At 43.4% G+C, this 24,723-nt stretch overlaps 1 protein-coding gene across 8 annotated transcripts in view; it reads right to left on the bottom strand.

Annotated features, from left to right (window-relative positions):
- Positions 1-7,830, bottom strand: part of RBM44 (RNA binding motif protein 44) — a 44,027-nt gene extending 36,197 nt beyond the window's left edge. For 6 of the 8 annotated variants that reach the window (NM_001080504.3, XM_017004054.2, XM_005246075.2 and 3 more), the window contains exon 1: positions 7,748-7,830. The gene's annotated coding sequence lies outside the window, so the exon portion shown is untranslated. Of the gene's footprint in view, positions 1-6,653; positions 7,062-7,718 lie in introns of those variants that run through there. The other 2 variants (XM_017004055.2, XM_017004056.2) reach the window with 2 other exon arrangements.
- Positions 7,831-24,723: the final 16,893 nt, after the last annotated feature.

The following is a 24,723-nucleotide window of genomic DNA, read 5'->3' as shown; positions in this document are numbered from 1 at the left end:
ACTCAGGGAGACCTCTGCTTTGCTTGAAGTCCTTGTTCTTTTTCCATGGTCTGCAATGTGCTTCCAGGCAGGAAGCCAGGCTATCATCATAGGACTCACGCTGGGTGTTTCCTTTCTCTCAGAAATCACAGTCCTACACTGTGTCATATAACAGTTTTCTCATACAGGTTCTATTTTAAGAAACTAGAAAAAGCAGGAATATTAAGCCCAAAGAAAGTAGGATGGAAATAATAAAAGAGGAGAAGTAAACAAAATAGATGAATAGATAAAAGTTAATAGAACCAGAAATTGTTTCTTTAAAAAGACTGACAAAATTTATAACCCTTCTTATCCCTTTCTTAGACGTATCTAAGAAAAAGAGACAACACAAAATACCAATGTCATGAATAGTAAAGGAACATTATTATGGTATCTACAGCCACTAAAATTACAGAGGATATAATAAACAACTTTATCTGCCAAATTCTACAACTCAGGTGGACAAACTTCCTTGAAAACCACCTTCCAAAATGAATACAAGAAGAAATAAATAAGGCTGATGTCAAGAAGAGTATTTCCTAGGTTGTCTTCTAAGATTTTTATAGTTTATGGTCTTACTCTTTTGTTGTTGTTGTTGTTTTAATTTTTTTGAGACAGGGTCTTGTTCTGTCACCCAGGCTGGAGTAAAGTGGTGCCATCAGAGCTCACTGCAGCCTTGACCTCCCAGGCTCAAGTGATCCTCCCACCTTAGCACTCCCCCACCTACCCCCTTGAGTAGCTGGGACTACAGGTGTACAACACCATGCCTGGCTAATTTTAAAATTTTCTGTAGAGACAGGGTCTCCCTATGTTGTCCAGGCGGGTCTCAAACTCCTGGGCCCAAGCAATCCTCCCGCCTTGGCCTCACAAAGTGCTAGGGTTACAGGCCTGAGCCACTGCACCTGGCCTCGAGGTCTTACATTTAAGTCTTTGATTCATTTTCAGTTAATTTTTGTATATGGTGAAAGGTAGAGGTCTATCTCCAATCTTCTGCATATGACTAATGACTAGACAGTTATTCCAGCACCATTTATTGAATAAGGGAGTCCTTCTCCCATTGCTTTGGCTATTCAGGCTCTTTCTTGGTTCCATATGAATTTAGAATAGTTTTTTCTAATTGTGTGAAAAATAATATTGGTAGTTTCATAGGAATAGTGTTGAATCTGTAGATTGATTTGGGGAGTATGGCCATTTTTACAATATTTATTCTTTTTATCCATGAGCATGGAATGTTTTTCCATTTATTTGTGTTGTCTGATTTCTTTCAGCAGTGCTTTACAGTACGCCTTGTAGAGATCTTTCACCTCCCTGGTAAGCTGTATTCCTAGGCATTTCATTTTCTTTGTGACTATTGTAAGTGGTATTATGTTCTTGATTTCATTCTCAGCCTTGTCATTGTTGGCGTATATAAATGCTACTGGTTTTTATACACTGATATATCCTGAAACTTTTCAGAAGGTGTTTATCAGATCTAGGAGCTTTTAGGAATAGACTATGGGGTTTTCTAGGTATAGAATCATATAGTCTGCAGAGACAGTTTGACTTCCTCTCTTCCTATTTGGATGCCTTTTATTTCTTTCTCTTGCTCGATTGCTCTGGCGAGGACTTCCAGTATTACAATGAGTAAGAGTGGTGAAAGTGAGCATCCTTGTCTTGTTCCAGTTCTCAGGAGGAATAGTTCGAGCTTCTGCCCATTCAGTATAATGTTGGCTGTTGGTTTGCCTTGGCAAAGAATGTGTAAGTCCCCAAAAACAATTGCAGAAAGAAAAAAAAGACAAGTGGCACCTAATTAAACTAAAGAGCTTATGCACAGCAAAAGACACTATCAACAGAGTAAACAGACAACCTATAGAATGGGGGAAGATATTTGCAAACTATGCATCTGCTACCTATAGATTCTGGCCTAATATCCAGAATCTATAGGGAATTGAAACAAATCAACAAGTGAAAAACAAATAACTTTATTAAAAAATGGGCAAAGGACATAAACAGACACGTCTCAAGAGAAAACATGAGCAGCTAACAAATATAAAAAAATGTTCAGCATCACTAATCATCAGAGAAATGCAAATCAAAACCACAATGTAATTAATACCATCTCACACCAGCCAGAATGGCTATTATCAAGAAGTCAAAAAACAACAGATGCTGGCAAGGCTGTGGAGAAAGGGGAACTGTTGGTGGGAATGTAAATTAGTCCAACTACTGTGGAAAACATTCTGGAGATTTCTCAACTTAAAACAGAGCTACCATTTGACCCAGCAATCCCATTACTAGGTATATACCCACAGGAAAATAAATCATTCAACCAAAAAGACACATGCACTTGTACATTCATCACTGTGCTATTCACAATAGCAAAGACATAGAATCAACCCAGGTGCCCATCAATAGTAGACCAGGTAAAGAAAATGTGGTATTGGTCAGGCGTGGTGGCGCACGCCTATAATCCCAGCTCTTTGGGAGGCCGAGGAGGGTGGATCGCCTGAGGTCAGGAGTTTGAGACCAGCCTGGCCAACATGGTGAAACCCTGTCTCTACTAAAAATACAAAAATTAGCTGGGCATGGTGGCACACGCTTGTAGTCCCACCTACTTGGGAGGCTGAGGCAGAACCCCAGAGGTTGCAGTCAGCTGAGATTGCGCCACTGTACCCCAGCCTGGGTGACAAAGCAAGACTCTGTCTCAAAAAAAAGAAAAAAAAAAAAGGTCTAAGGCATATTCAATAAATGGTACTGGCACAAGTATATTTCTACTATCTAGATTTTTACCTAGAGGGAAAAATTGCCTGGACCCACACCTCACACCACAATAAAAGTGAGATGAATCATATTTTTAAATGTGAAAACCAAATTTATAATGTTTCTCAAAACACAACAATATATTCATGACTTTGGAATAGGCAAAGATTTCTTAGAACACAAAAGGTGTTGATTTAAAAGTTGTTGATTGGGATTCAGCAAAATTAAGAAACTTTTCCTCATCAAAAGACATTACTTAAAAAATGGAAACACAAGCCAAAGACTGGAATAAAGTATTCACAATCCATATATCCAAAAGGAGACGCTTATTCAGATTACATAAATAACTTGTACAAATAGATTTTTTAAATTGCTTATAGGTATGAAAACATGCTCAACATCATTAGTCATCAGGGAAATGCAAATTTAAACAACCACGGTACCACTTCACATTCATTAGAATGGCTTAAAATTTGTGTGTGTGTGTGTGAGTGAGAGAGAAAGTATGTGTGTGTGTGTGAGAGAGAGAGTATGTGTGTGTGTGTGTGTCTCGCTCTGTCACCCAGAGACAGAGAGACTGTGTGTGTGTGTGTGTCTCGCTCTGTCGCCCAGGCTGGAGTGCAGTGGTGTGATCTTGGCTCACTGCAACCCCTACCTCCCAGGTCAAAGTGATTCTCCTGCCTCAGCCTCCTTTGTAGCTGGCACTACAGGTGCACACCACCACACACAGCTAATTTTTGTATTTTTAGTACAGATGGGGTTTCACCATGTTGGCCAGGTTGGTCTTGAACTCCTGACCTCAAGTGATCCACCCGCCTCGGCCTCCCAAAGTGCTGGGATTACAGGCATGAGCCAGTGCACCTGGCCAAAATGGCTTTTAAAAGAGTGCTAACACCAGATATTGGTGAGGATGTGGACAAACTAGAATTCTTATACATTGCTTGAGGGAATACAAATTGTTAAAACCATTTGGAAACCGGGCAATTTCTAATGGTGTTAAATACATGTCTACCCTATTACCAAGCAATTACATTTCCAGTTTCAGAGACGAATACCTTTCTTTGGAGAATCACTCTTTAATATATTATTCAGTAATGACTGAGCCTGTTTTCTAAGTTATATGTTAAGTGTTGAGGACAGAGAGGTGATCAGTCACTGGCTCTATGAAGCACAACAGGCATACAATTTCCAAAAGGGGGATGGATGCACATAAATCTTCTATAAATTTAGAGTATGTTTTCCCAAACTTACCTGATATAAGAATCACTTAGGGCGCTCATTAAAAATATAGATTCAACAGCCTAATTTGGGGCCCAGAAACAATACTCGAGGACAACAGTCCACAACCTTTTTGGTACCAGACACCGGTTTTGTGGAAGATAATTTTTCCACGGACCAGAGGATTGGAGGTAGGGTAGTGGCTTCAAGCTGAAACTGTTCCACCTCAGATCATCAGGCATTAGTTAGATTCTCATAGGTAGCACGAAACCTAGATCCCTCACATGCACAGTTCACAACAGGGTTTGAGTTCCTATGAGAATCTAATGCTGCTGCTGATCTGACAGGAAGCAGAGCTCAGGCTGGGGGTTGGGAACCCCTGCCCTAAGTAATTCCTACAATCTGGATATTTTGAGAAACACAAGGTGGTATGGGAAACATACAAGACTTAACCTAGTCTAAGGATTAGTGAAGGCTTTTCAGAGAGTTACTTAACCTCAGATCTGAATGATGAGTAAGAGTTAGCCATTGGGGGTAGGACTCATTTAGTATTGATTTTGACTGAAAGGATAAAATGTAACATGCTCAAAAATATATTTGGAGTTTTTCAAACTGCTAGTTGTTTTTAAAAAGCAATTAATTTTATGTTCAAATCCTTGATAGAAAAAAGGAAAAAAAGCAATTAAAAACTAAAATTCTCACCAAGAAAAATATAACCTGTACCTACTTTGGGATTCACAAAGTTAAATAAGACAATTGGGGTTAAATAAGACAGTTAAGTAGACAATAATTGTATAGCACAGTTGCATTAATAAAGGTAAGGAAAAACTTATCAAAAAAGTAAATGATGGTCAAGTAGGGGCTAGCCAGGCTAAGAAGAAGCAGAGAAGGGCATAGAGCATCCCAATTTAAGAGGACAAATATGGAATGGCTCCAAGTTAAGAGTCATTCCTTCTTCTTAGATTATAAGATAACTAGAGTTATTATGTATAAAAATGAACTGGTCTGGCCAGGTGCGGTGGCTCACAACTGTAATCCCAGCACTTTAGGAGGCCGAGGCAGGTGGCTCACTTGAGCTCAGGAGTTCCAGACCAGCCTAGGCAACATGGTGAAACCCCTGTTTCTAACAAAAATACAAGAAATTAGTTGGGCATGGTGGTGTGAGCCTGTGTTCCCAGCTACTTGGGAAGCTGAAGTGGGAGGATCACTTGAGCCCAGGAGATGGAGGTTGCAGCGGGCCAAGATAATTCAAATACATATATATTTGATACATTTGATTGTTCAAAATATTGTGTGTATATATTTAAGTCAGGGTCTCACGCTGTTGCCCAGGCTGGAGGCTGGAGTGCTATGGTAGCAACACAGCTCACAGCAGTCTCAACGTCCCTGGGTTCAGGTGATCCTCCCACCTCAGCCTCCCAAATGGCTGAACTATAGGCATGCACCACCATGCCTGGATAACTTTTTTGTAGAGACAGGGCTTCACCATGCTGCCCAGGATGGTCCCCTAGCCCAAGGGATCCACCTACCTCAGCCTTTCAAAGTGTTGGGATTACAGGCATAAACCACTGCACCCAGCCCGCTCTTCATATTCTTAAAAAGTATTGAGAACCCCAGCTGGGCGCAGTAGCTCACACCTGTAATCCCAACACTTTGGGAGGCCGAGGTGGGTGGATTACTTGAGGTCAGGAGTTTGAGACTAGCCTGGCCAACACGGTGAAAACCCGTCTCTACTAAAAATAGAGTGGGCGTGGTAGTGGGTGCCTGTAATCCCAGCTACTCAGGAGGCTGAGCCAGGAGAATCACTTGAACCTGGGAGGCGGAGGTTGCAGTGAGCCGAGATCATGCCATTGCACTCGAGCCTGGGAAACAAGAGTGAAACTCCGCCTCAAAAAAAAAAAAAAAAGGATTGAGAGTCCCAAGGAGTATTTTTTTTTATTTGGGTAATATCCATCAATACTTACCATATTAGAAATTAAAGCAACATTTTCAAATATTTATTAATTTATTCATAGAAAATACATTCGTTACTTAAGTAAAATTTTAAATTAAAAACATATTTTCAAAAAATTGGTGAGAAGAGCAACACTATCTCAAGCTGGATTCTCATTCACATCTGATTCTACACTCAAATCTGCATTTAATGAAATCTGCAGTGTGCTGCAAGCTTCATTCTTAAATATGAAGACACCCAAAGTTAAAAACGTTTGCCAAAGAGAAAATTTTAGTATAACGGAAGTACTTGCAGATCATGTATGCGATAGAGGTCTATTATCTAGAATATAGAAAAAACTCTTACAACTGAACAATAAAAAGGCAAACAACCCAATATTAAGAATGAGCAAATGACTTGACAAAGAGGATATACAAATGGCCAATAAACACATGAAAATATGCTCAATTTATCAAGAGTCATGAAGGAAATGCAAATCAAAACCAAAAGATATCACTTCACACCCACTAGGATGACAATAACAATAACAGTAACAACAGTGTTGAGCAGGTCATGGAGAAATCAGAACCTTCATCCATTGCCGATGGGAATGTAACATGGTGCAGCCACTCTGGAGAAGTCTGGCACTTCCTCAGAAAGTTAAACACAAGACAACCACATGATCCAGCAATTCCACTCCTAGGTACATGCCCATTTTTATTATTTTCTTTGAGTTCTCACTTACCGAACTATTTCCTCCAGTGCACGAAACTCCAGGGAATGGTATCGCCAGAAACCACAGGACTCGCCCTTGACACCTCCCTTATCCCTGAGGTCTTGTCAATTTTAACTCCTGACTCTCACAGCTATGCAGACAATCACCTCACATCTGGCCAGAATAATCTTTCTAAAATGCTTATCGAATCAGTTACGCTCCTGCTTAAAACTCAGCAACGGACTGTCACTGTTTTCAGACAGATTAAAATCTGAATAAGTCCTGTAAAACCCTACAACGGTCCGGGCTCTGTGTTAGCCTTGGCACTTGGTGTCTTCCAGATACACCCTCCTTTCCATTTCCTTAAAAAGTCAGGCCCTGGCCGGGCGCGGTGGCTCACGCCTGTAATCCCAGCACTCTGGAAGGCTGAGGCGGGATGATCACGAGGTCAGGAGATAGAGACCGAGATCGAGACCATCCCGGCTAACACGTTGAAACCCCGTCTCTACTAAAAAAATGCAAAAAGTCAGGCCCTGTGCGTTCTCTCGCCTGCCCACCCCCTACCCCACCTTGAGTTCACGCTCAACTTCAGATCTCATCTTAAATACGCGCTTCTTAGGGAAACCGTCCGGGCACCTCACACTAGGTCAGGAGCTGGCGCCGTCCTCCAGGGCGTCCTACGCGTCGGTCAGGGGCACACACGCCTGAGTACGGAACGAACTTCACGTCCCCCTCTCGCTAGAGTCCCCGCCCCGCAGCAGAGGCTCCATCAGTCTCCACGGCAAGAAGAAGCATATGTGCGAATTTCTAGCTTTCCCCGGGGACATAACCAAGTTTGGGAGACCGGCCCCGCGACTTCGTTCGAGAACGACTTTTGCGGTGTCGGCGCCCGCTATGAGGGCGCCGGAACTCCAGTGCCGCCCAAGGAACGCGCCAGTCCCCCGCCCGCCTCGCTGGCCTCGCCTACACCGCCGTTCGGAGTCCCCGCGTGCTTCAGCGGGACGGGCCTCGCCGCCGGGACCGGCCACACGCGGGGTTCGCCAACCCCGACCGCTCAAGCCCATGGCCTCGCCCTCGCCGGCTTCGCCGCCCGACCTGCCGCCCCGCGTCTCTGTCCGTCGCACCTCGGATCCGCTAGAAAGCCGCCGCCGCTGCCGCCTCCACGGGCCAGCGCCCCGCTCTCCGCAGCCGCCTCCGAGTCAGTGGCGCCACCGGAGCAGCCGCGGCGCCTGTTGGGTAACAGTCACCAGCGGCCCGCCCACCGCCTGTCGGGCAGTATGAAAAGTGCGGCACTGTGATTGGCCCAGCCTGTGGGCGCGAAAGCGCGGGAAGGAGGCCGCCTGCTTGAATGTTGCACGACGTAGAAGAGATTGTGGGCGTCTGTCTTGGAGCGCAGAGCGGCCCCCAAGACTTTCCCGCTTTGCAGCCTGAAACCCTCGTCTGGACCGCGCAGCTCTGCAAAGTCACCATATGAAAATACTTGGAAGCGCTGCTTCTGCCAGCAGAGGCCAGACTGCCCCTCGCTTGGGTCCGGTGCAGGCCGAGTCCTCCGCCCTCAGAGGCGGGACAGGGGCCCGGCCTCCTTGCCGAACTGTTTCCCAGGCCGCGTGGTCCCTCCCGGGGTTTGGCTTGTCCTCTGCCCATCTTCTAGAAATACCGTTAGCAGGGTCGGGCCGCGACTAGGGTGAGGCCAGTGAGGCATTTGTCATGAGCACAGGATTTCAGAGGCTGCCAAAATAGCAATCAAGATAAATAATATTTTAATGCAGTCTCTAAAAAAAGTCAAAAGTAATGAAAAAATTCAGTCCTATTTTTTCCTTTCGCCTCAGACTCTTAAAATGGCTCCACAGGGTACATTGTTACTGGTCCTGTCTTTATTTAAAATTTGAATATTCTGGGCTGGGCGCGGTGGCTCACGCCTGTAATCCCAGCAGTTTAGGAGGCCAAGGCAGGTGGATCACCTGAGGTCAGGAGTTCGAAACCAGCCTGGCCAACATGGCGAAACCTCGTCTCTACTAAAAACACAAAAAATAGCCGGGCAGGTGTGGTCGTGGACGCCTGTGATCCCAGCTACTCGGGAGGCTGAGGCAGGAGAGTCGCTTGGATCCAGGAGGCGGAGGTTGCAGTGAGCTGAGATCACCCTGTTGCACTCCAGCCTGGATGATGACAGAGCAAGACTCCGTCTCAAAATAAATAAATTAAATTAAATTAAATTTGAATATTTTATTATGGATTTTTTGCATTAATTTCGATTTTTTAAAAGATTGCATTAAAAGATTACTGAGTTTTTGCATCCCCTCCCCTGCCCCCCATGTTTTGTGCCTAGTCTTATCCTTGATAGGGAATTTAAACCTGTATAAAATGACACAGTCCTGAAGGGGTGGGGACAGGATAGAGCTGCAGGTGGCTTCATTTGCTTATTAGTCTAAACATGCACTTGATTGTTGGGCCACGGAGGACTTTGGATAGGTGGCAGATAGAGGAGGGGCTCTAAAACTGCACCTACCCCCAAATTATCCCCTCAAATGAGGCTGCAGTCTCTGAAATGCACTTCATTCATTCATTCATTCATTCATTCTGCAGATTGCTATTGGCCTGCCAGGGGCCAGGGGCTGAGGGTGCAGTGGTGGACAGTGGACCGTGAGCATGGATCTTGGGATAATGTAATACACTTATCGCAAATCTTGCCATTACCAAAAGTGCTTTCAAGTGTCTTTTAAAGTGATATGGCCTGTCCTTTTACAGTGGATTTCATTTAGAAGTCCCTATGTTATTGGAAGTTAACGCCAGTGGCTGGAGAGGGCGGCCACGGCAGCAGCAGGCCAGAGCTGCTGATGAGATTATGAGGTCTGGCCTCTGTTATAGAAAGGGGTTCAGATTGAGGCTCACATTAGAAGGCTGGACACTCTCCCCTGGGCTGCTGGGCAGATGGCATCTGGAGCAGGACTGGGCCATGGTGACCCTGGAAGGGGTGGCTCTGGAAGTGTGTCTGTGGGCCAGCAGCCCTGATGTCAAGACAGCTGGAAACCACGTTCTACTCTAGACCCTTGGCGTTTCTCCTTTGACTGCTCCACCACAGTTAGAATTTTGAGAAATTCCTCTCTGAACAGCCATTTGCCAAATGCTCATTTCACTGTTAGTCTCCTCTCCACCCTGTGGGTGGGTACAACACAGAAAGAGTCAAATCTTTCATTTATCAACCTTTTAAACCATCGAAGACAGTGATCATGCCATCCTTAGGGAGGATTATTGGGATTCAGGGAATAGAGATGAAATGTTGTGTTATGAGTGGATGGGCTGAGCACAGACATCACATGTGTCACCAGGCTACAGAAAAGGTAAGCTGTGCCGGACAGTGATGCTGTGCTTACAGGCAAGCCACTGAGCAGGTGGCAGGAGGGGCTGCCGGTTGTTGGCAGGGAGGCGGGTTGAAGGGCAAATGGGCTGTTTGCATGAGACACACCAAGCCTCCTGCTACGGCAAGGGGAAGAAACATTCCCACTTAAGTGACCTCAGCTGTTTTTGTTTAACTGTGGGATCCAGTGTCCTTGTTTTGCCTTCCTCTGGGCCCTTTGAGGTGTTTTGTTTTGTTTTGTTTTGTTTTCGAGACAGCCTTGTTCTGTTGCCCAGGCTGGAGTGCAGTGGCACAATCTCGGATCAATGCAGCCTCCACCTCCCCAGTTCAAGCGATTCTCCTGCCTCAGCCTTCCAGTAGCTGGGATTACAGGTGCCTGCCACCACGCTCAGCTAATTTTTGTATTTTTAGTGGAGATGGGGGTTCCACCATGTTGGCCAGGCTGGTCTCGAACTCCTGACCTCAAGTGATCCACCCGCTTCGGCCTCCCAAAGTGCTGGGATTACTGGCTTGAGCCACCGCGCCTGGCCTCTTTGAGTTTTTTTTGACACTGTCTCCAGATACTCCCCATTGGCCCTAGGGCATGGGACCCTTGCTCTTCTTGGTCAGAGTTTCCTGTGTCTGTGTATGGAGCTAGTGGTTCTGCCTTTTCTGCCAGGCAGCTCTGCCACGTTTGGACTTACGTAATTGATTTGGGGATTATATTGTTTTGATGTGAAATTTTACATTTTTATGAAATCCATCAGTCTCTTGGCTGGGCGGGGTGGCTCACGCCTGTAATCCCAGCACTTTGGGAGGCTGAGGCGGGTGGGTCACGAGGTCAGGAGATTGAGAGCATCCTGGCTAACATGGTGAAACCCCGTCTCTACTAAAAAATACAAAAAATTAGCCGGGCGTGGTGGCGGGCGCCTGTAATCCCAGCTACTCGGGAGGCTGAGGCAGGAGAATGGCGTGAACTCGGGAGGCGGAGCTTGCAGTGAGCCGAGACCGTGCCACTGCACTCCAGCCTGGGCGACAGAGCGAGACTCCGTCTCAAAAAAAAAAAAAAAAGAAATCCATCCGTCTCTTTGTCATTTATTTTCAGTGATATTAGAGATGCTTACTCCAGCTCAAGTTCAGAATAAACATATTCGTACAATAGTATTTTCTGTTGTTTTTGTTTTTGTTTTTAGACATGGTCTCACTCTGTCACCCAGGCTGGAGTGCAGTGGCACGATCTCGGCTCACTGCAACCTCCGTCTCCTGGGTTCAAGCCATTCTCCTGCCTCAGCCTCCCGAGTAGCTGGGATTACAGTTTTGCACTACCGCACCCAGCTACCATTTTTTAGAGATGGGGTTTTGCCATGTTGGCCAGGCTAGTCTCGAACTCCTGACCTCAAGTGATCTGCCCGCTTTGGCCTCCCAAAGTGCTGGGATTACAAGCGTAAGCCACCATGCCCAGCCACACAATAACTTTGATTTGTGCCTTTTATGATTTGATTTTTTACACTTTTTTTTGCTTATAACTTTGAAATATTTAATGTTATTAAAGTCACATGTGTTTAATGTAGAAAATGCAGGAAAGGGTGAAAAAGAAAATAGAAATCTCCTATAATCCCGTTTCTCACAGAGCCTCACTGTGGGTGTTTTCGGGGAGCTATCTATAGAGAGAAACCATGGAGCTACTCTCCCACATGGACTGTGATGCCTTTCTACATTTTTAACCTCTCTATTCAGGAGCCGTTAAAATTTTTTATTCCGCAAACACCTACTGAGGTCTTGCTCTGCATTAGGCAGGCCATGGAATGAAAAGCTTACAGCAGTTCTTGAAGAACGTACAGTATAACTGATACCACACAACTTAGTGGGGGCTAACACGTGTGGAATAGACAGGATGCAGAAAAGGGCGGCGTGTTTGTAGAGCAGTCTCAATAGCATGGAAGCCACACCCTGGGAATCCTCAGGGAATGCAGAAAATAAGGCAGAGCAGAGTAGCTGGGCCCTTTTGAGCAAGGCTGGGTCGCCCCATTGCAGGGGCCTATCCTTGCACCTTTGTAACACTGAAAATACCTGGCAGAGGCCCCCTCAACTGTTGTTTTATCAAAATCATCTAGTCTAGTTGCAATGTTGGTTTTTTTAAAACTTCCAAGTGAATATTAGAATAATTTTGTTGTTGGCCAGGCATGGTGGCTCACTGTAATCCCAACACTTTTGGAGGATGAGACAGGAGGGCTGCTTGAGGCCAGGAGTTTGAGGCTGCAGTGAGCTCCGTGTAGTGCAGTACATGCCACTGCACTCCAGCCTGAGCGAGTGAGATCTTTCTTTTCTTAAAAAAAAGAAAGAAAAAAAAATAATAATTTTGTGAGATTACCTCCCCAAAAATCTCAAAGGGGTTCTCATAAGAAATGTATTAAATCTGGCGGGGTGCAGTGGCTCACGCCTGTAATCCCAGCACTTTGGGAGGCCAAGGCAGGTGGATCATGAGGTCAAAAGATCAAGACCATCCTGGCTAACACGGTGAAACCCCGTCTCTACTAAAAATACAAAAAATTAGCCGGGCGTGGTGGCGGGCACCTGTAGTCCCAGCTACTCAGGAGGCTGAGGCAGGAGAATGACGTGAACCCAGGAGGTGGAACTTGCAGTAAGCCGAGATCGCACCACTGCACTCCAGCCTGCCTGGGCGACAGAGCGAGACTCATCTCAAAAAAATAAAATAAAATAAAATAAAAATAAGAAATGTATTAAATCTATAAACGTGAAAGTTATATCTTTATGATATTTATTCTTACCATACATCTTTCTACAGTTTTTCGTGTCTTGTATCTCAGCAGAATGTATAGATTTCCTAATGTAGGTTCTTCTATTTCTTAGGATTATTATTATTGCTTCAATTTGTGTGGGAGGCTTTTTTTGGGTGGGGTTTTTTTTTTTTTTTTTGAGACAGAGTCTTACTCTGTCCCCCAGGCTGGAGTGCAGTGGCACAATCTCGGCTCACTGCAAGCTCCGCCTCCCAGGTTCAGCCTCCCAAGTAGCTGGGACTACAGGTGCCCACCACCACGCCCGGCTAATTTTTTGTATTTTTAGTAGAAATGGGGTTTCACTGTGTTAGCCAGGATGGTCTCCATCTCCTGACCTCGTGATCTGCCTGCCTCAGCCTTCCAAAGTGCTGGGATTACAGGCATGAGCCACCGTACCCAGTCTTTTGGGTGGTTTTTGTTTGTGATTATGAGATCCTAATGAACTAATCTTTAGTTAGATATTCTAAATCTAACTGGTAAGTTTTGATATATAGGAAAGTTATTCATTTCTGAATATTGATCACATATCCTAGTATTTTAAGGAATTCTCATTACATCATCTGTAGTTTTGCAATTGAGTACAATACTTATGTTGCCCGTTTTCCAATATTTTATTACTATTTTGTGTTTTGCTGTGCTGTCTGAAACTTTACAACAGTGCTAAAGTTTAGGGCTTCAAGGCATCTTTTTTCTTCTGGATTTAAATGTAAATGTGTCAATTTGCTGTTTTTCTACCAAATGTGATGTTAACTGTTTGAGATAGTATTTTTAACAATATTGCAGAAATACCCTTCTATTTCTGTCTGCTTTGTCTTTATGAAATCTTTTCAGGATCTATAGTTTCCCATCTATATTGATAAGTAAGGCTGGACTTCAGCAGATAGCAGACCATCAAAACTCTTCCTGTTCTTTACCCTGTCCCCAACCCCCATAAACATATTAGTTTGGTCAAAAACATACTGAAGGCTATGACCAACCAAATCAATAACATAACAAATATATTATTCTCATTTATGAAAGTTTGCGAATCAACCCTTCTGCTTCTACCTTCATATATTTGGATAAACCAGCTCCAGAGAGAGAAGAACATAGGGCTCTAAAAGTAGGAAAAATGGTGGAACAAAGAAACCTTGATGAAGAGGGTAAGGCATGAGTGGTTCAGTGAATGAAGCTGTAGTTTTGCTGGTCGTCTTGAAACATAGTGGCCACACCTGAAGAACAGCTGAAGACCCTCCTGGGTTCATCCTCTTAAGCAGACATGTGCCTCACATGCCCACATCTGCAACTTCCAGGGCTTTCTGTAGTGAGAGGAGAATGGAATTTTGCTCTCTGGACTCTGAACAACATTGCAGGGAGGGATAGTGGGGGGTCCCCTGGAGGCAGGCTTGGGAATAGGAACTCAGGCTAGGAACGTAAATGCTTGTGCCTGACTTGGAGGCTAGAAGTGCATTTCCTAATGTGTTCTGCAGAGCCCTGATCCCAGAAGGCTCTGTGAAGAAACGGGTTCCATGTTCAAAGTTTGTGAAATGTTACCTAATCTGTCTCCCTGTTAAGGAATCCCAATGAAAGATGCTTCTCAATGAGTAAACTCATCACCTGTTTAACTGTTACCAAAGGCTATTTGTTTATAGAGCTATTTACTTAGAACCCCTCCTAACATTCCAAGAAATTAGTGGTTCATGATAAAACATGTTGGGAAACACATGACTGACAGTAATATTAGTTGTCATGACAACGAAGACAAACCACCAGCTATCTCCTCCTGAGCATCGTGTACCAGGCAGTGTTGTAAGCACTGAGCCACAGTGCTGAGCAAGAGAGACATGGCTCCTGACCCCACAGTGCAGTAGAGTGGTTACGACCAGGGCCAAAATAATATTACTGTAGGACCCTCCATTGTGCCCCCTTTATTTCTTTTCTTTCTTTATCATCATCATCTTTTTTTTTTTTTTGAGACTGTCACCCAGTCTGGAGTGCAGTGGCAATCATTGCTTGCTGTAACCTCTAACCCCTGGGCTCAAGCCATCCTCCTGCCTCAGCCTCCCAAGTAGTGTGTGCCACCATGCCCAGCTAATTTTTTTAGTTTCCTCTTTTATAAAATGGAGGTATAAGAGTACCCGCTTCAATGAGTTATTGCAAAGAACAAAAATGATTATAGTTGGAGAGGGGGTAGTGACATAATCAGGTTTTTTACAAGTTGAGTTTCATGGGAACTGTGAAGAAGACTGAAACTGTGAAGACCAGGGAGGACAGGTTGCTAATGATGATGGCCCGGTCCAGGGGCATTGGAGATGGTAATGGGAAAAGGATAGACATGGGAGATCTGAAGTGGAATTGATAGGATGAGAGTGGAGGGGGGATGAGGGAGAGGAAAGGGCCAACAGAACACTGAGGCTTCTGAGCAGGCTGGTGGCATAGATGAAGGTGCGCTTGTATTACCGAGGATCTGGGGAAGAGGAGCATGCTGGTGGGGGCAGGTGGGAGGGAGGCACGCAGTTCAGTTTATGTCAGAAACCTTGGCTTCGTCAGCTGCACTGGCTTTGTATTTTTACACTCTGTATTGCCTTTTGCATCTCTTAGTACGTAACCCTTTGCCATCATCCTCAGTGCCCTTTCCTGGCCTCTCCTCCTCTATCTAATCCCTTTTAGATTGTTCTAGGTGCTTCCTGTGCCCTCTACTTAGTTACACCCTCCCCCTAAGAAAGTCTAGTCTCAAGATTTGAAAGTTGCATCTTTGCTGACGACTCCTGATCTACATTTCCAACCTGGTTCTATTCCCTGAGTTCCACACTCAGTTCCCTACCATCGACCATGCAGCTTCCGTTCCAGCAGGGGACGACAGGCAGTAAAGGGAAATTTATTGTATGTTAGACAGTGCTAAGGTGAGAAAAACGCATCAAGAAAAGGGACAGGAATTGTTGAAGGATTGGAATTTTATTTTATTTTATTGAGACAGAGTCTCACTTCATTGCCCAGGCTGGAGTGAGGTGGTGCAATCTTGGTTCACTGCAACCTCTGCCTCCTGGGTTCAAGTGACCCTTGTGCCTCAGCCTCCCAAGTAGCTGGAATTACAGGTGAGCGCCACCATGCCATTACAGGCATGAACCATCATACCCGGCCGGATTGGCAGTTTTAGATAGGGTGGTCACGGTAGTGCCTACTGCTTCATGGCACAGCCATTTTAATGTTTCATAAGCTTCTCAAACTTGATGTGGCCTAAACAGAACTCTTTGGCCCTCCTCTTTGACTTTATTGTTTTGGTGGGACTACACTCACTTTCACTTTCACTGCTGCATCATGTACGACTTTACTGTATATTGTAGTGTGTGAGTCAGGCATGTCTGTCATTCCTATTATTATACATAAACACATCTATTTGGTGTCAAAGGATTGATTCAGTGCAGATTTTTTTTCTGTGTACCAATATAACATCACAATGTGTTTATTTGAATATTATATGCAGACAGCACAAGTTATAGTAAAACACATTAAATTATATGTGGTATTGAAATTGGAATACTTAGGTTTATTTTGACCATAATTAAATTATTTTACTAGTTCAAAAATAACTCTGGATAATCTTATAGCTTTAAAACAAAGACATGCTACTGATGTAGAATCAAGTAGAGATATAGAAGCAAACACTGACTGGAACAATAAAGAAAAAAGAGCCTGGGAGAAGGTACGTTACAAATTCCACAATGAATAGCAATTGTAGTTTTCTGGGAAGAACAAAATGAAAACGTAGTTGGTTTGTGATATAAAAAATGTTCAAGGATAATATTAAGATACAATATTAAGAGACGAGACATTTTCAGCAAATAGTGTGGTGGCTTAAAAAGCATGTCCGAAATTTGTTTCATACTCTTCTCCTTAAGAAATGGAGCTAATTTCTCTCCCCTTGAATATCCGAAGTAATGAGCTGTTACTTCCAAGGTTAAGTTTAAAAAGACTGGTTTCCACCTTGGGTTCTCCCTCTCTCACGCATGCTGTCTCTCTTTTTCCTATTCTTTCTCTCTCTTTCTCTCTCCTCTCTCCTCTCTCTCTCTCTCTCTCTCTCTGCTGCCAGGTCATGAGCAGCCTATGGAGAGGTCCATGGTCCCTGTGGTGTGGAACTCAGATCTCCAGCCAATGAGGAGGCTTGGCAATAACGATACAAAAGAGCCTGGACCAGATTCTCCACTCCCAGTGAACCGTCCCATGACTATTTCCCTGGCTGACAGCTTTATTGATTAGAGACCCTGAGCCAGAAATACCCAGCTAAACCACTTCCAGACTCCTGATCCACAGAATCTGTGTGAGATAATAAATATTTGTTGTTTAAGAGGCTAAGTTTTGGGTTAATTTGTCACACAACAATACATGTTACACAATGAATTTGGTAAAAAGTTTCTTCTCAATAGTTCAAATCGAATTGACACAATTAGTAACCTGAATTTATAATTAAATGTCCAAAAACTTAAAACAATTTTTTTTTTTGAGACAGGGACTCACTCTGTTGCCCAGACTGGAGTGTAGTGGCATCATTTTGGCTCACTGCACCCTCGACCTCTGGACTCAGGTGAACCTCTCACCTCAGCCTCCCTGGTACTGGAACTACACGCATGTGCCACCACACGTGGCTACTTTTTGTTTATTTTTTGTAGAGATGAGGTATCATTATGCTGCTCAGGCTGGTCTCAAATCCTGGGCTCAAGTCATCTTCCCACCTCAGCCTTCCTAACTGCTGGGATTACAGGCATGAGCCACTGCACCTGGCACCCCCTCCCCACAAATTTTTAAGTGATGTTTTATAGGATCGGAGTCTGTAATTTTGGCCAACAATGAAATGGCTTGGATCCTTGCACAAAAGACAAAATCGTTTTAGATAGAGATATAATAAAAATTATTTCAGTTAGGGACATTTTGTTAGAAAGTTATGAGGGGAAAACTAAAAGACATTTCATGTAAAGAATCTCTAGTTAAGCCACCATACAATTGCCTGTATAATACAAGAACTTTTTAACGATACCAAAGATCAATTGACTCAAAATTATTTCTTTAGTTTCAGATGAGTCATTTAATGTAAGAAAGATAATCCAATTAATACTTTGGGTACATTCTGTTTAAAGGGATTTCCAAACTTACAAAGAAATGTAAATTTTTCAACCTAAAAAATTGAACTTGTGATATGCATATTTAAAAATCTTTACATCTGTCAGAGAAGAACTTCAGCTAGATATGAAATGAGATATGAAAACATTAGTTTCTATCATGATGCTCCAGATATGTTAGGTCAAAAATACAAATTTTCTGGCATTTTAAAACGAGAGACTGATGTTTCCTTTATTGCTCCATTTCACTGTATGGTACCTATTGAAAATATTTGTGCTTAGTTTTCTAAAGCAGTCTCTATAAAGAGTCATGGAGATGGTTGTTAAAATCATTCACTATACACAGACAAATGCTATGAATCACCAGTTTATGAAATTGTTCAAATAGTTGGGTGTGGTGGCTCACATCTGTAATCCCAGCACTTTGGGAGGCTGAGGTGGGAGGATTGCTTGAGTCCAGGAGTTCAAGACCAGCCTAGGCAACATAGCGAGACCCCATCTCTACAAAAAGTAAAACAAAAAAATTAGCCAGGTATGGTGGCACATGCCTGTAGTCCCAGCTACTCTGGAGGCTGAGGGGGGAGGATCACCTGAGCCCCAGAGGTCGAGGCTGCAGTGAGCCGTGATTTTGCCACTGCGCTTCATCCTGGGCAATAGAGAGAGGATCTGTCTCTTAAAAAAAATATATTGTGGAAATAGAAGACAATGAATTTAATGAACTTGCACTCTTTGCCAGTGCTCATTGGTTAAGTCATGAGTTTTACAAAGATTTGCTTTCTGTTAACTTCAATTCAAAATTTTCTTGAAATGAAAAGAAACTTGTGAAATATTCAACAATTAAAGAAATTGGCAATGTGATTAGTGTTTTTTCACTAATATTATATTACGTATAAATGAGCTAAATATGAAGCGCCAAGAAGACACTTATATGTAATCGATCTAAGCAGGTATAAGGATTTATGTTGAAATGGAAATTTTCAAATTACACATCAATAATAATGATTTTAACACATGCATCAATATGTGTATCATTTTAAGTATAATCAACAGAGGTATATAATTAGTTCCAAAAACTACGAGAAAAATTTGAAGAATACTTTGTTGACATTGATAAATTTAGAGTTGCTTTTCAATTTATGCGATATCTCTTTGAACTTGATGTTAATAATCCTGAATCAACACAAGAGTCGATGGATTTACTTAATTTGGATGTAGTTTTGAAACATTTGCTTTTGCTTTAAAGTCAAACAATTCTTCTGAAAAACATAAACCAGTTTTATCAACATGGGTGTAATTATCAAAGAAAAATGGGCTGGGCACGTTGGCTCATGCCTGTAATCCCAGCACTTTGGGAGACCAAGGCAGGCGGATCATGAGGTCAAGAGATCGAGACCATCTGGCCAACATGGGGAAACCCTGTCTCTACTAAACATACAAAAATTAGCTGGGCGTGGTGGCACATGCCTGTAGTCCCAGCTACTTGGAAAGCTGTGGCAGGAGAATTGCTTGAACCCAGGTGTTGGGGTGGCCAGACCCAACACCAGGCTGTGGGGGCTACAAAGTCTGGCAGTGTCAAAGGAATGAGACAAGTTAGGAGTGCATAAAGTGGGTCCAGGGGGCCAACGCTAGTATGGAGGCTGTGAAGACCCCGAGCTCTGGAAGCCCACACTACTTATTGGTGATCAAACAAAGAAACAGGTGGTGAGGATGTGGGGGTTGAAAGGTAGCGGTGCATCAAGCATATGATCTATAGCTGTGACAGTTTAGCATTCCCTTTGAAGCATATAGAACATGTTCTGCTACTTGAGATCATGGGGAACATGTTCTTCTAGTCTAAGATACAATCAATCCATGAGCCTGGGAGTGCTAGAAGCAAGAAGCCAGCAAGTCTAGACACATTCCAGAGGCCACGAGGGGTTTTATGCCCTGAGCCCTGGATTCCATCCAAGCCACGAGGGGTTTTCTGCCCTGAGTCCTGGATTCCATCCAAGCCACGAGGGGTTTTATGCCCTGGGCTTAGATTATGGTACGGCAGGGCAGCCTTCCACTCTTTAGCACAGAGCTTGGTGTTCCAAAGGCCATGAGGGGTTTTAGACCTTGGACCCAGGACGTGTTCCAAGACTCTTTTACATTATGTCAGACATGCAAGCCCTGCCTCAACTTTTCCCACCACCCAGGAGGCAGAGGTTGCAGTGAGCCAAGATCATGCCATTGCACTCCAGCCTGGCAACAGAGCAAGACTCTGTCTCAAAAAAAAAAAAAAAAAAAAAAAAGAAAGAAAAGAAAAAAAAGAAAAATGATTTTTTTGGTGTTCTATTTAATTTTATGAAATAGTAACACAGATCAAGTATTTATCATGAAAACTTTGCCTGAATTGAAATATGCTGTAAATACAAAATATATACTGATTTGAAAATTTGCTATTAAAAAACATAAAATATTAACAATTTTAAAATGTGTATTACATGGCAAAATGATAATTTAGATATATTGGGTTAAATACAGTGTATTGTTAAAATGAATTTCATCTGTTTATTTTTTTTAAATATAAGTATTAGAAAATTTAAAATTACATATATGGCTCATATTATGTTTCTATTGGACAGTGCTGCTCTAGACATTCAAATAGCCAGGACTTTTTCATCCTCAGGTTTTAGCTTAAATGTTACTCTGTGAAGCCTTTCCTAACCAGACAGCTAAAGCAGCAACTTCCCCAAACGTACACACTCCTGACCACATGTGCCTTAGCTCGCTCTCTATCCCACTACCTGCTTTCAACTTTTTTCATAGTACCTTTCATTATCCAAAATCTTACTCACTCACGTTCAGGTTTATTGTCTGCATTCCCCACTGGAACAGAACTGTTGAACCCCTAGTGCTTGAGTAAGTACTTGATCAATATTTAGAGAGTTATTCTAATAAACTCTAGAGAGGCCAACTTGCAGGAAATCTGAAAAGTCACTCTTGATAAAATCATGGAAACAGACACACGCAGAGGTATTTAGGATAAGAACAAAAATAATATATTTTAAAAATCACAGTAAAGACAAGACATCTGCTTCTAACACAACGAGATTCCTGGGTATTAGGAACCTGTTCTGAAGTTGTATCTTCCCCTGACTCAGCTGCTTCAGGTGTTCATGTTGAGTGAGGCAACTGCCTTTTCTGAGATAAGATTTAGCAGATTTAAGTCAGGGTTTCTCACAAATTTTGTTTTCAAACTTGCCCTTCCTGCTGTAATATGAATGTATTTACCTTTGCATTCTCCCATGTGAAATCTTGCCTGTGCTAAATTGTGGTACTTAGGGCAACAGACAGCTTCTCTCTTTACCCCACAGGCTGCCCATATAGTCCACGAGAGAGGAAACCATCATTGTTTTGTTCTTTTATGGCATCTAGACCCAGATTTAGGAGTTAGACCTAGATTTTTAAAAGAGAGTGGATTTAAATTTTTTGATATGGAAATATTAAGCCACATTACCTTAAAACCACATTTAACAAAACCATGGTGGGTGAAAAACTACAGCTCTTAGTTGCTACAAAATTCCAGTGTGGCTAAGGCAGCCTAGGAAAATCCAAGGAAGAAAGTCCAAGCAGGCCAGAGTGGTGAAGCTGAGTGGCTTTTCCCTGGGGCAGCAGGCTGGTGGTTGGGGAAATTTAAATGAAAGCAACTCAAGCAGGGGAAAAACTCAGCACATCTCAATTAGCTGTGGGGTACAACTTGTTCAAGATCACAGTATCAGCTGTCTTCAGAAGGCAGACTCGGTGGGACCCCTGAGTGCCTGTGGTGGTGGTGGTGGTGGTGGTGGTGGGTCCAGAAGGCTAAACACAAACAGAAAGAAGCCTCCTCCACCATTATTCTTGCCTCCTACAACTAAATCCAGTATAGCAGCTGATATGGTTTGGCTATGTCCCCACCAAAATCTCATCTTGAACTGTAACTCCCACAGTTCCCACATGTTGTGAGAGGAACCCAGTGGGAGGTGATTGAATTATAGGGGCTGGTCTTTCCTGCGCTGTTCTCATGATAGTGAATGAGTCTCACGAGATCTGATGGTTTTAAAAACGGGAGTTTCTTATACAAAAATTAATTCAAGATGGATTAAAGACTTAAATGTTAGACCTAAAACCATAAAAACCCTAGAAGAAAACCTAGGCAATACCATTCAGGACATAGGCATGGGCAAGGACTTCATGTCTAAAACACCAAAAGCAATGGCAACAAAAGCAAAAATTGACAAATGGGATCTAATTAAACTAAAGAGCTTCTGCACAGCAAAAGAAACTACCATCAGAGTGAACAGGCAACCTACAGAATGGGAGAAAATTTTTGCAATCTACTCATCTGACAAAGGGCTAATATCCAGAATCTACAATGAACTCAAACAAATTTACAGGAAAAAAATCAAACAACCCCATCAAAAAGTGGGCAAAGGATATGAACAGACACTTCTCAAAAGAAGACATTTATGCAGCCAAAAGGCACATGAAAAAATGCTCATCATCACTGGCCATCAGAGAAATGCAAATCAAAACCACAATGAGGTACCATCTCACACCAGTTAGAATGGCGATCATTAAAAAGTCAGGAAACAACAGGTGCTGGAGAGGATGTGGAGAAATAGGAACACTTTTACACTGTTGGTGGGACTGTAAACTAGTTCAACCATTGTGGAAGTCAGTGTGGCGATTCCTCAGGGATCTAGAACTAGAAATACCATTTGACCCAGCCATCCCATTACTGGGTATATACCCAAAGGATTATAAATCATGCTGCTATAAAGACACATGCACACGTATATTTATTGCGGCACTATTCACAATAGCAAAGACTTGGAACCAAGCCAAATGTCCAACAATGATAGACTGGATTAAGAAAATGTGGCACGTATACACCATGGAATACTATGCAACCATAAAAAATGAGAGTTCATGCCCTTTGTAGGGACATGGATGAAGCTGGAAACCATGATTCTCAGCAAACTATCATAAGGACAAAAAACCAAACACCGCATGTTCTCACTGATAAGTGGGAATTGAGCAATGAGAACACATGGACACAGGAAGGGGAACATCACACACTGGGGCCTGTTGTGGGGTCGGGGGAGGGGGGAGGGATAGCATTAGGAGATATACCTAATGTTAAATGATGAGTTAATGGGTGCAGCACACCAACATGGCACATGTATACATATGTAACTAACCAGCACATTGTGCACATGTACCCTAAAACTTAAAGTATAAAAGAAAAAAAAGGGAGTTTCCCTGCACAAGCTCTCTTGTCTGCCACCATGTGAAACATGCCTTTCACCTTCCAATAAACCTCTTTCTTTTGTAAATTGCCCAGTCTCAGGTATGTCTTTATCAGCAGTGTGAAAACAGACTAATACAGCAGCCCCCTGGGATTTAGGAAGTATTAACATAAACTTCAAATATTTTCTTTCTTTTTTTTGAGATGGAGTATCGCTCTGTTGCCCAGGCTGGAGTGCAGTGGTGTGATCTCGGTTCACTGCAAGCTCTGCCTCCCAGGTTCATGCCATTCTCTGCCTCAGCCTCCCGAGTAGCTGGGACTACAGGCGCCTGCCACCACTCCCGGCTAAGTTTGTTTTTCTATTTTTAGTAGAGACGGGGTTTCACCGTGTTAGCCAGGATGGTCTCAATCTCCTGACCTCGTGATCCAGCCGCCTTGGCCTCCCGAAGTGCTGGGATTACAGGGATGAGCCACTGCACCCAGCCAACAGATATTTCTAGCTCAGAGTTCTCTTCCCAAGTCTCTGATGTTCTTGTTTCTATGCCACCCAAGAGGATGGACAATTGGAAGAGACAAATCCAGCCACAGACAGTGCAACTTCACTCAGGGCCAGTGGAGCTCAGGACCTGCTTAGCATTTAGTGCACCTGGGGACCAGGTAGGAGCCATCCACAAGTGGTGATCAGAGCTATTCTGGCAGAGAGGGGAAAGAAGCAAGCAAGGGGGAACTGGCAGGGGTGGGGGGCTGGCCATACATGGAGATACACACTAGCAAGTGGTTAGGCAGCAGCATCGAGGGGCATGGCAGCAAGTACAGGGCTGGGGTTCAGGGACAACTGTCCAGTCCTTGAGTGATGGGAGCTAGCCCTGGAGGCTCCTGGACACAAGGGCAAAAGGCCCTGACCACAGAGCTGGAATCCTCTAAGCCTCCGCACATCCTTAACACTGGGTAGCAAGTGCTTCCGAAATGTGGCTGAAGGTGCAGGGAGCCAGGCAGGTCAGTGGACATCAGCTCTATCCCCTTCAGATACTCAGGCAGGCTCGGGAACACGTGGGCCACATCTGGCTCGGGTCATTTAGTGAAACACAACAGATGCTTCTGCCGGTTTGAAAATTTGCAACTGGCTGGCTCCACATAGCTAACAGCTGGCACTTCCCCACCCCTCCGCCTTCTGCTATGGCCATCCTCATGCATGGCTGTTCTCTCCCTGAAAACCACAGCCTCCTTAAGGTGTGCATTCTTCTGGTATTCCTCAAGGGCTCAGCACTGTACAAACCAGAAATCCAAATTTGCTAAGTAGTAACACATTTTCAAAAATATCAACAGGAACTTTTGATGCTTTAGTTGATATTTTGACTATGAAAATGAGGAATTCTAAAACACAAGAGAAAATAACATTTGATTGTAATTCTGAACTGCATTGGATTTTTATCTATTTATGTTATCCATTTATGATGTGTTTTGAGTGTTTTGCTCTATGTCCTAGATGTTATTTCATTTCTAAAAATGAAAATCATTCATAGGAAACATACAACAGGGATCCTGGTCTGGGTTTTCAACCATTTCTTTTCCAAATCTTCTAATTCAGGTTACAGCAGTGGTTCTCAATGGGAGGCGCTTTTAC

The sequence above is a fragment of the Homo sapiens genome, chromosome 2 (genome assembly GCF_000001405.40).
Source record: "Homo sapiens chromosome 2, GRCh38.p14 Primary Assembly".
NCBI classification, from domain to species: Eukaryota; Metazoa; Chordata; class Mammalia; order Primates; family Hominidae; genus Homo; species Homo sapiens.
Note: the sequence above shows the minus strand (reverse complement) of the source record. Positions and strands in the feature narration are given on the sequence as shown.